Genomic DNA, 11,736 nt, shown 5'->3' on the forward strand with positions numbered 1-11,736 from the left:
CCACTGAAGCAAGTTGGCTTTGTCACTTCCCTGTTGCTCCCACTAGACTTCAAGCTTCTCTTAAGCAGGATCTGTATCTTGTTCATCCTTGAGTGCCAGTGCTAGCACAGGGCCTGCCTGTAGTAGCTGCTTAATAAATATGTCTTGAATGAGTAACACTCAGGCCTGAGAATACCTGAGACTGTATGGCATAGTGGTTATAAGCTTAGCTTTGGAAATCAAGGCCTGTGTTCAGACTCTGCTATTTGTGTGATTTTGGGTGAGTTCCTTAACTTCTTGATCTTCAATTTCTTCACCAATAAGATGGGGATAATAACTACTTCCTAGGGCTGTGATGATGAATTGCAATGATCCATGCAAAGCCCTTTGATCAATGTATGACACATAGTAAGTGTTGTGTGCATCATAGTACCTATTAGTAACAACAACAACAATATAGTTATCGTTAATGGAAGGGAGAAAGCTATAAGAACTAGTTGGAACTAGAAGTCAGGAATATTGAGTGCTTGCATAGTGGATTTAGAGGAGATGGGGAATTGCTTGGGATAAAATGTAGGAACAGATGGGATTACCCTGGGAGAGAATGAACAGGGAGGGAAAAATGGGTGGAGCAACTAAAGACAGAACCTTGAGAAATCCTACATTTGAGGGATAAGAGGAGTCAAAACAGGAAAAAGAGTGAATGACTACAGTTAGGAGATTGCAGCTTCTCAGATGCCAGGGGCAGGAGTTTAAAAAAGATAGTCAAAGGTGCTATACTGGGCAGAAGATCAATGAGGAGAAGACGAGAAGAGGTAGCCATAACGTGTTAAATGGGGGTATGTTAGCGCCCTTGGGAACTAGCCATTTCAGTGGAGTCAGAGGAAGAAGCCATGCTCTGAAGGAGGTTAGAGAAGGCCACGTTAGGGATGAAGTGGGCATACTAAGTCAGTTTGTTGTGCTACAATGTGTGTTTCTGTAATGAGGATTATCTGTGGGTCAGTAGATGACTGGTGTCAGTATGATGTAGAAGTCACATTGGTTCATATGTAGGGTTCATTCTCAGCACATGAATGTTTTGGCATCACTGGCTACTAGTGGCTGAAAGCAGACTAACACACCTGAAGGCAGAAGACTGGGGGAAATGGGGGACATAGAGAGCTGCTCATGAGGCGCAGTCACCCTGTGTTCTTCCACTTGACTGATTGGCACCCACTCTGTCTTGAAGTGCTTTGGGGACATTCCTTGCCAATCTTGGTGAGTTTAGTCACTGATTCCATTCCACTCAGCACCCTTGACCCTTCTGATAACTCCTTCGACCACAGTCCCCCTTCCTTTTTTAAGAAGGGCCATATTTACTAGAGTTTTTTTTTTTTTTTTTCCCAAACTGTGTCCAGGTTTATTAAAGATACTTTTTGTGAACAGTCATGGTATTTCAGGCAGGACATGAGCGACAATCATTAACAGTATACAACTTTCAGACTCCCTCCTTCAATGGACTTCCAAAATCAGAAAGCCATGGTAAAACCCAATGAAGTCTTCATTTGGTACCCTGAAGAGGGAAAGTTCAGAGTGAGGGTTGACATTTCACATTCAACGTGCTGTTTAACAACTTTTCATGAGCTGACCCTGACTTTCAGGAAATGAAATGAAAATGGCAGAATTTATCTGAAGATCCACAATCTAGAAACAGAGCACGTGTCTTTCAAGGGTTCTCGCTGGAAAGTCCAGATTGCCAGCCTGACTGGTAACCAGTTATTGGGGGCCAGACCCCAACAGGTATCTGGGTTTGAGGGAGTTAAGTGTATACTGAAGGCAGAGAGGGAGAGGGGGAAATAAAGAGGAATTTGTTTCTCCACACCACAAGGCCTTTGTGCGAAGGTGACTGTGTGTGTCAACGTCAGACAGTCCCTCTTTCTGGGAGCCAAGAAGATGTCTTTAAAACTAGAAGGGAAAGGTGTTTTCTCCACATCAGTCCAGCTTCATAGACATTCTTTTTCTTTTTTTTCTTTCCTGAGACGAAGTCTTGCTCTTGTTGCCCAGGTTGGAGTGCAGTGGCACGATCTTGGCTCACTGCAGCCTCCGCCTCCCGGCTTCAAGTGATTCTCTTGCCTCAGCCTCCTGAGTAGCTGGGATTACAGGAACCCATCATCACGCCTGGCTAGTTTTTGTACTTTTAGTAGAGACGGGGTTTCGCCATGTTGGTCGGGCTGGTCTCAAACTCCTGACCTCAGGTGATCCGCCTGCTTCGGCCTCCCAAAGTGCTGGGATTACAGGCATGAGCCACGGTGCCTGGCCTCAGAGACATTCTATTAGTGACATATACCCCTTCTCCATAAAACAACAATGACGTGTTCCGTGTGCTAACAACATGGCTTAAAATAAAGGCATAAAAACAATTCTGCATTTTTATAAAACTTAATAAAAAAATAATACTTCAAACTGCACAGTCACCAGAAATACACAGTTATCAAAAATGCACACACTTCCCTTGGCATCCCCAGCGCCTTCAACTTTCTGTGCCTGCTCTGTTTTGGCCTCTGCATTTTCTGCAGAGTTATTCCCCTCCTTGCCAGCATGGGCTTTTTCCTTTTTCCCCTTTACCTTCTCTCCCTTCTTTGCAGGGGCCTCTTTAGGCTTGGGCTTCGGAGGAGCAGGTTTGGCAGACAACCTTGCAGATCTTCTCTGTGGTTTGTCCTTACTTTGGTTTTATCTCCTTTAGCGTCCCCTTCAGCCTTTCTCTTGGGCATGGTGGAGGCGACTGCAGTGGAATGTAGGTGCTGGATCTGGGGATGCAGCAGTGCGTGGGCTTTGGTTGGCCTGGGGGATAGTTCTTACCTCTTCTTCTTCACACTGCTCATAGAGTATTTCTTTATTAGAAATTTAACATTTAAAAAATTCAGTGTTTTTAATGATGTTGATTGTTTTTGTTGGTGCTCAAGTTAAAATCTTTGTTTTCAACCCTGTTTTTCCGATAAGCCTTGTTACTTTTAGAGTTTGTTGTTGCGAAGCATTAGTTTTTTAGCAATACATATGTTCAATTACAGAAGAAATTCCCATGATTCCTTTTCCTAAGGTTGAACAATCTGGGAAGGAGGGATGGGAAGGTTAATAGCAGCATCTATGGGAGGTTTTTCCCAAGGATCAGCAGACTTAAGCATTCTTGGCTGCAACTTGGCCTAAATCAGTTTTCCCTTGGTGACTATCTTCCTAAGTGCTCTTTATTGTATATTTAGGTGATTGTGGTTTTGCATTTCTGTCCTCTCTCTGATCTCTTGCTACAGTCTGAACAAGTGTCGGAGGCCGAGTTACTCCCACAGCTGAGCAGAGCCCCATCCCAGGCTGCAGAAAGTAGTCCAGCAAAGAAGGTAAGGTCAGCCTGAGGATGCTGTCAGATGGCGTTGCGAGTCCCACCCCGGGCTTCTTATCTCTATTAGCTGATCTATTGTTTTAAGGTTTCTGTGTCCTGAAATGAATGTCAATGATCCAGATTTCCTAGAATGTGGGTTCTTTGTGAAGATTGGGGTCCTGAAGATTCCTGGGCTTGACCCTTGATGCATTTTGTACATGACAGTACATACTCAACCTCCTTAGCCCCCCAGCTAAACATGGTGGCCTTGTTTATGGCAAGAGCTAAAAGGGCTGTGGGGAGGGACAGATGTCTTTAGCAAAACCCCATCCACCTGCTAAGCCTCTGTGAATACCTCTTGGGGTGGGGTAGTCTCTCCTTTTTGGTCTTTGTACCATGGTTTCCTCTTGCATCGTGGCATTTTCACCTGGCATCTGCCCAGCCATGCCATTGGGTCACCTGTAATTTGCTCAGTAAGTACCCCTCACTCATCATGCTCTCCATTCATCTCCTCACCCTCTTCTTGTCCTTCTCCCAGGCTCTTCTTTCAGAGAGAGTGGGCCTTGGGCTCAGGAGCACAGGTGAGGTAGAGTCCTCCAAAGAAGCAGACCAACTGTGTCCTTCCAGAATACACTGTGGCTCTTTTTCTTGACTTTATGTAGGAATTGGGGATAGGAGAATGATGAGCATATGACTAAGACCTTTAAAAACTTCCAAAGCTTAGGTTTTTTTTTGTTTTTGTTTTTGTTTTTTTTTCCTGAGACAGAGTCTCGCTTTGTTGCCCAGGCTGGAGTGCAGTGGCGCGATCTCGGCTCACTGCAAGCTCCCAGGTTCACGCCATTCTCCTGCCTCAGCCTTCCGAGTAGCTGGGACTACAGGCATCTTCCAGCAGGCCGGCTAATTTTTTGTATTTTTAGTAGAGACGGGGTTTCACCGTGTTAGCCAGGATGGTCTCGATCTCCTGACCTCGTGATCCGACCGTCTCGGCCTCCCAAAGTGCTGGGATTACAGGCATGAGCCACTGCGCCCGGCCAAAATTTAGGTTTAAAAGGCTTCAAAGTGAGGCAGGAGCCTATCTTGTCTTCAGTTAGGAAAGGCCCCATGGTGTGAGATGCACACAGGGTCTGTGTGAGTTTCAGGTGACAAGAAGTAATAGACTTCTTGAAACATTTAAAAAGAAAAAGAAAAAAGGGAAGACCACTGGACTCTGATGCCTGTGTCCCCCCAGTTCTTGCTGAGCCATGGGTCAGTAAATAGAGTACCCTCCTGATCTTGGGGTTGGGGCTAAAGGCATGTGGGACACTGGAAGGAAGAGTGGAGGGAACATTGAAATGTTTAACTTTTTAATTTTTATTTTGTTTTAAATCCACAGGATGTACTGTATTCTCAGCCACCATCAAAGCCCATTCGTAGGAAATTCAGACCAGAAAACCAAGCTACAGAAAACCAAGAGCCTTCCACTGCTGCAAGTGGGCCAGCTTCTGCGGCAACCATGAAACCGCATCCAACAGTCCAAAAGTAAGTAGACCACATAAACAAGAGTGAGGTAGGAATCTCGCTCTGAGATGTCGACGGATATGTAAATGTGTTGACATTTACGTGCGCACCAACAGAAGGATTTCATGGTTGTAAGTTTATCTTGCTCATCTCTGTGATGGGATTCAAGTCTCCCAGTCACATAGAAGGCTTTATAAGCTATAGGACTTAACCTGACCTAAAGGGGCAGGCGAGTCCTAGGCTGTGGTGTTTGGTTTGGTTTGATTTCTTTCCCTTCCTCTCACCTTCTGTTGTTTCCTACTCCTCTTCCTTGTGAGGGCCCAAATTTTCCTGGCAAGATGAAAGTATTGTAAGTGGCAATTTTGCCTCTCTGCCTGTGTTATCTCCTTTTCCTTCAGGGCAAATGGCTAGCTCCTTCACCCACAGACACACTTTCAGTAGGTGTGGTATGTGATTCTTTTAAAATCTCCGTAAAGAGTTTCTGTTGTTGGTCGCCTCAGCACAGAATGGATACATGCAGAACTTCCATTATATTTATCTAACCAGCTGGAACAGGTATTGGAGGGAGGGTGAAGACACCTGTGGACATGGCCAGGGACTGAGACAATGATGCTCTGGACAAACTATCCTTCTCTGTAAAACTTTGGCTTTGAGAAGAGCCATCACTTGCTTCAATTTCTTTGTAGTGAAATTGAGGGAGGTGTTGAGGACAGAAACCTGCTCCTGTCACTTGACTGCAAGTGAGCCTGACCGGTCACTAACATAAATGCTCAAGACCCATCATGACCCTGCTTTTGGGGTCTTGCAGGTCTCAGATGCTGCTGCAGATTTTCTTCTGCTTACACGTTGTAGAATGAAAAGCAGCAGGTTCTGTGGGAGATGTTAGCAACTTGTCTTTGAAGCCAAAGTCCCATTCTGAATCTCTGCAGCCCTCTCCTTCAGAAGATTTTCTTTTTTTCAAATGGACAGGTCCCTGGTGGTATCAGTCCATAAAGGAAGTATATTTTGTTCATCACATTCACCGAGAACTTTGACCATCTTCCAGCCCCTGTTAAGCCTGGAAGGTGAAGAATCCCTATCAGGGACAAAGATGGCTCAATTTTCTTCCATGTTCTACCCCAGCACTCCACTTTAATTTCAGCTTTATGTTCATTTTAGTCAGCAGTGGCTTAACAGTCTCCAGAGTAGATGTCAGGGCATCTGGTGGAGTTCATACAGAGATCTTTTCTTTTTCTCTTTTTTATAACAGCTTTATTGCAATATAATTCACATAGCATACAGTTCATGTTTTTAAATGTACAATTCAGTGGTTCTTAGTTTATTCACAAAGTCATGCAACCATCACCACAATCTAACTTTTGTCATGCCTAAAATAATATATATCCACGCCCATTAGCAATCACTCCCCATTCTCTCCTTCCCCCTCAGCCCCTGGCAACCACGAATCTCCTTTCTGTCTCCATGGCTTTGCATATTCTTGTCATTTCACATAAATGGAATAATGAAACGTGGTCTTTTGTGACTGGCTTCTTTCACTTAGCATAATATTTTCAAGGTTTATCCAAGTTGTAGCATAAATCTGAACTTATCTTTTTATGGCTGAATAATATTCCATTGTATGGATAGACCACATTTTATTCATCCATTCATCAGTCAATGGACATTTTGGTTATTTCTGCTTTTTTGGCTCTTAAGAGTAATGCCACTATACTGTTTGTGTACATGTTTTTGTGTGGACTTACATTTTCATTTCTCTTGGGTCTGTACCTAGGAGTGGAATTGCTAGGTCATGTGGTAACTCTGTCTTTAATATTTCGAAGAACTACCACACTTTTCATAGTGGCTGCACCATTTTATGTTCCCGTTGGCAACGTATGAGGGTTCCAATTTCTCCATTTTGTCAACACTTATCTTTTTTTTTTATTATAGCCATCCTAGTGAGTGTGAAGTGTGATCTCATGGTTTTGATTTGCATTTCTTTTGTGGCTAACGACATTGATCATCTTTTCATGTGCCTATTGGCCATTTGTTTATCTTCTTTGGAGAAATGTGTATTCACACCCTTTGCCCACTTTTAATTGGATTATTAATCTTTTTACTTTTGAGTTATGAATTCTTTATATATTCTGGATACAACTCCCTTGTTAGATATATGAGAAAATTGAGCCCTCTTTGTAAATATTTTCTCTCATTCTGTGGGCTGTCTTTTCACTTTCTATTTTTTATTTTTATTTTTTAGAGACAAAGTCTCACTCTGTCACCCAGGCTGGGGTGCAGTAGCATGATCATGGCTCATTGTAGCCTCGAATTCCTGGGCTCAAGTGATCCTTTCCCCCTCAGCCTCCTGAGTAGCTGGAACTACAGGCATGAGCCACCATTCCCAGCCAATTTCATTTTATTTTTTATAGTGATGGAGTCTTACTATGTTGCCCAGTCTGGTCTCAAACTCCTGGCCTCAAGTGATCATCCTGCCTCAACCTCTCAAAGTGCTGGGATTACAGGCCTGAGCCACTGCACCCAGCCAATTATCAATATTAATCAGATCTGTACAGTGGTCACAGTCCATTCTAGTTCAGTTGCTCTTTTCTAGAACCTATCTCCCAGTAATGGCACATATGGCTGTTTTTCTAGGAGAACATCAGTTGCTCTTTTGCTCTAAGAATTCGGTGTTTCTTGCTGTGGGATGAAAGGTTGTAGATTATCCCTGTGGTAACTGCACTGATTTATCATCCCAACCATGGACGGTTTTGAAAAGTAAAGAGAGTGCTAATGTACTTATGCTGGACAGACAGTTTTAAATGGAGACTGTAATGGGCGCAGTAGGATGCGTGGTCACTCTGGTTATGCGTGTTCTGTGAATTTGTTGTTAATTGGGAAATACTGGTATTAAAACGTTCTGTATTTTTCTCAAGAGCCACAGATATATGCTGGTCCATGCACATACACGAGTGCACATTTATGCACACACACACATATACTTAGGCATTCATGCCTAATAATACATAAGGTAGAGGTAGGTAGTCTGGCTAAGTTAATGTAGAATTTTTGCTAAAAATAATGTTCTTGTATTATTTTCCTTCAGACTTGTTCACAGGGGACACCTGCAGGTCTTCTAAGTGCTATTAATTCTTACACAAAAAGGGCATTCCAGTTAATATGGTTTGTCAGGAAGAAATACTTATTAAAATGTCTTGGAATAAATGGAACACAAATGTTTGAAAAGGCCCATTTCACAGCTTTTATTCAAGTTATAAAATGGGAATTACTTCAGGTGTAAATAATTCATCCCAATAAATTTGTTTCATTTGGTGTCTATCTTCCTGACCGCCTGTGAATATGAGATTTTATTTTTGGAGCCCTGTGTTGTTAACCACTTGTTAGTTTAACACCTCTCATGAATCAGAGTTCTGACCCTCAAGGGTCCAGACCTCTAAGTCCTTTTTCACTGAAGTGTTTGTGCTTTTCTATAGGCAGTCTTCCAAACAGAAGAAGGCCATTCAAACTGCTATCCGCAAAAATAAAGAGGCAAACGCAGTGCTGGCTCGGCTGAACAGTGAGCTCCAGCAGCAGCTCAAGGTAAGGAATGAGTCCCAGATTTGGATGACCAGGCTTTTCCCTGGCTTTTAAAAAGCTTTTTTTTAATTTAATAGGCATATAATAATTGTACATATTTATAGGGTGGGGTACATAGTGATGTCTCCATACCTATCATGTACAGTGATCTGATGTGTCCATTGGCTGACCATTTAGTTCCATCCCTGTTGATAAGACTTGCCTCTTCGTTCTCAAACCCTTTTTGGAAGGTGGAGAATTACTGTATTTAAGTTTCATGGGTTGGTTCTTGCATAGTCAGAGGAAGACTAGTGACTTTAATATGTAGGCTTCATATTGTGTATGAGTTAAAAGGAAAGACAATCTATTACGAAGGCTGTTTGAAGCATTCTTTATTATCCAAAGCTTCTGGGTAAGCCCTTAATTATTTACATCCTCTCTGAAAGAGGATGTAAATACTTATTTCAGTAGAAGGAAGTCACCTTGGTACTATCAAAGCCCAGCCCCTCCTCTGGTGCCTTGCAAATGGTTCCATTTCACCTTCTCAATGACATCACCCCTGTTTCTCTTCATCGTTACTCTCCCCTGTGTTAGTTTCTCGGGGCTGCTATAACAAAATACTACAAATGTGGTGGCTTAAGATAACCAAAAATGATTCTCTCACAGCTCTGGAGGCTAGAACTCTGAAATCAAGATATTGGCAGAGCTATGATCTCTTTGAAGGCTCTAGAAGATGATCCTTCCTTACCTCTTCCCAGCTTCTGATGTTGCTGGCAGCCCTGGGCATTCCTTGGCTTGTAGCTGCGTCACTCCAATCTCTGCCTCTGTTGTCACATGGCCTTCTTCCTGTATCTCTCTGTGTCTGTGTCCAAATTTCTCTTCTTATTGTATCCTCTTATAAGGACACCAATCATTGGATTAGGACCCACCCTAATCTAGCATGACCTCATCTTAACTTGATTACATCTGCAAAGAACCTATTTGCATATAAGGTCACATTTACAGATACTGGGGGTTAGGACTTAAACATATATTTTGAGAGGACATGATTCTACCCACTATATCCCCCAGTTCTCTACTGGATCATTCGCCATCCACATGTAAATATGCTCCAGTATTGTCCATTACACTTGGCCAATTACTGCCTCATTTCTTTGGTCCCCTTCACAGCAAAGTTTCTTAGGAGTGGTTTTATTCATTATCTTTACTTTCAAACCAGTAATTTTCTCTTCCTTCCACTTCAGTTGGCTTCGTCCTCCTCCACTCACACCCGTCTTGTGGCTAAATCCAATAGGGCTGTTTTAATATTATTATTTTTTTTTCAGAAGAATTCTACACAATTGATCATTTCCTCCTCTGAAATGGCTTTTATAACTGGTTTTTGACATACCATACTCTCCTGGTTTTCCTTCTGCTTCACTGGTGCTTCCCATTTTCATTCTCTGCTGTCTCTTCCTTCCCTGACTTAACTTTTATACCCCAACCCCATTTGCCCCAATATTTTAGTATGAAAATTTTCAAACATACAGGAAAGTTGAAAGAATCATAAGTGACTGCTTGTATAGACATCACTTCAGTTCTACAATAACATTTTACTATACTTATTTTTAATCACATATCTACCCATTTATCCTTGTGTCCATCAGTTCATCTTATTTTTGACATATTTTCAAATAAATTGCAGATATCTGTATACTTTCCCTGAATATTTTAGCATGCGTATAATTAGCTAGAGTTCAATATATTTTTACAGTTTTTTCTTATGATGTAAAATGTTTATACAAAATGCATGCACAAATATTATTATTATTATTATTATTATTATTATTATTATTATTATTATTATTATTTGAGATGGAGTCTCGCTCTGTCGCCCACGCTGGAGTGCGGTGGCGTGATCTCTGCTCACTGCAAGCTCCGCCTCCTGGGTTCACACCATTCTTCTGGCTTAGCCTCCTGAGTAGCTGGGACTACAGGCGCCTGCCACCACGCCCGGCCAACTTTTTGTATTTTTAGTAGAGGTGGGGTTTCACTGTGTTAGCCAGGTTGGTCTCGATTTCCTGACCTTGTGATCTGCCCGCCTAGGTCTCCCAGAGTGCTGGGATTACAGGCGTGAGCCACCGCGCCAGCGCACGCACAAACCTTAAGTGTACATTTGCTGAGTTTGTAACAAGTACATGTACTTACGGAATCCAAACCCCCAAAAAGATAGAGAATATTACCATCACCCCAGGAAGCTCCCTCATGCTTTTTCCTAGTCAATTCCTGCCCTACCCACACAGAGGCAATCACTATTCTAATTTTTATACCATAGTTTTGCCTGTTCTATAACTTTATATAAGCGGTGTCTTACAACTTATACTTCTTGTAAAGCTTCTTTCACTAAGTATTATGTTTTTGAGATTCATTTATATTGTTGTGTGTATCAGTAATTCATTCATTTTTATTGATGAGTAGTATCCCATTGGGTGAATATGTTACAGTTTGGTTATCAATTCTATTGACAGACACCTGAGCGGTTTCCAGTTTTTGGCAATTTGGAATAAAACTGCATTTTTTAATAAGTCTCTGTATGGAAATATGTTCTCATTTCTCTTGGATTGGGATTCGTAGGTATCATGGTAAGTGTATGTGATTAGTTTCTGAGAAACTGCTAGATCATTTTCCAAGGTGGTTGTAGCAATCTGTACTCCTACCACTAATGTATGAGAGTTCCAATTGTTCCGCGTCTTTGCCAACATTTGGTGTTATGATTCTTATTAATTTTAGCTAGCCCTGTAGTGATATAGTTTTTATCATCTCCTTGCTGACTAATTATGTTGTCCACTTTTCTTTGTGATTATTTACCTTTCATATCTTACTTTATGAAATATCTTTTCAAATGTTATTTTTCTCCAAAGTAGTCTATAGATTTATTACAAAACCAATAAAAATCCCAGCAGGATTTTTTGTGAGTATAGACAAGCTAATCCCAAAACTTATATGTAAAGGCCAAGGAGCTGGAATTGCTTAAACAAATTTGAAAAGGAAGAACAAAGTTGGAGGAATCACTTTACTGTCAAGCTCCAGTAATCAAGATGCTGATGCACAGGTCAGTGGAATAGGATACAGAGTCCTGAAATAGACCACATGAAAACAGCCATTTGATCTTTGACAAAGGTGCAAAATCGATTCAATGAGAAATAATAGTTTTCAACAAATTGTTTTATAACAATTTGTCATTTGCATTTAAAAAAATAACCTTGATCTAAGCCTCACATCTATACAGAGATTAACTTGAAATGAGTCATAGATGTAAATGTAAAACATAGAGCTATAAAATTTTTAGAAGAAAACAGAAAAATCTTCATGATCTGGAG

General features: G+C 41.6%; 1 protein-coding gene and 1 pseudogene across 17 annotated transcripts in view; one reads left to right on the top strand and one right to left on the bottom strand.

Moving 5' to 3' along the window:
• REPS2 (RALBP1 associated Eps domain containing 2) overlaps positions 1–11,736 on the top strand; it is a 249,998-nt gene that overhangs the window by 183,903 nt on the left and 54,359 nt on the right. For 15 of the 17 annotated variants that reach the window (XM_017029956.3, XM_011545603.3, XM_011545606.3 and 12 more), the window contains 3 exons: positions 3,264–3,347; positions 4,701–4,846; positions 8,296–8,401. In XM_017029956.3, coding sequence (XP_016885445.1) covers positions 3,264–3,347; positions 4,701–4,846; positions 8,296–8,401 — 336 coding nt within the window. Of the gene's footprint in view, positions 1–3,263; positions 3,349–4,700; positions 4,847–8,295; positions 8,402–10,884; positions 10,942–11,736 lie in introns of those variants that run through there. The other 2 variants (XM_017029957.2, XM_047442628.1) reach the window with 2 other exon arrangements.
• On the bottom strand, positions 2,281–2,838 carry HMGN2P45 (high mobility group nucleosomal binding domain 2 pseudogene 45; annotated as a pseudogene).

Source organism: Homo sapiens, chromosome X (assembly GCF_000001405.40).
Source record: "Homo sapiens chromosome X, GRCh38.p14 Primary Assembly".
Taxonomy (NCBI): Eukaryota; Metazoa; Chordata; class Mammalia; order Primates; family Hominidae; genus Homo; species Homo sapiens.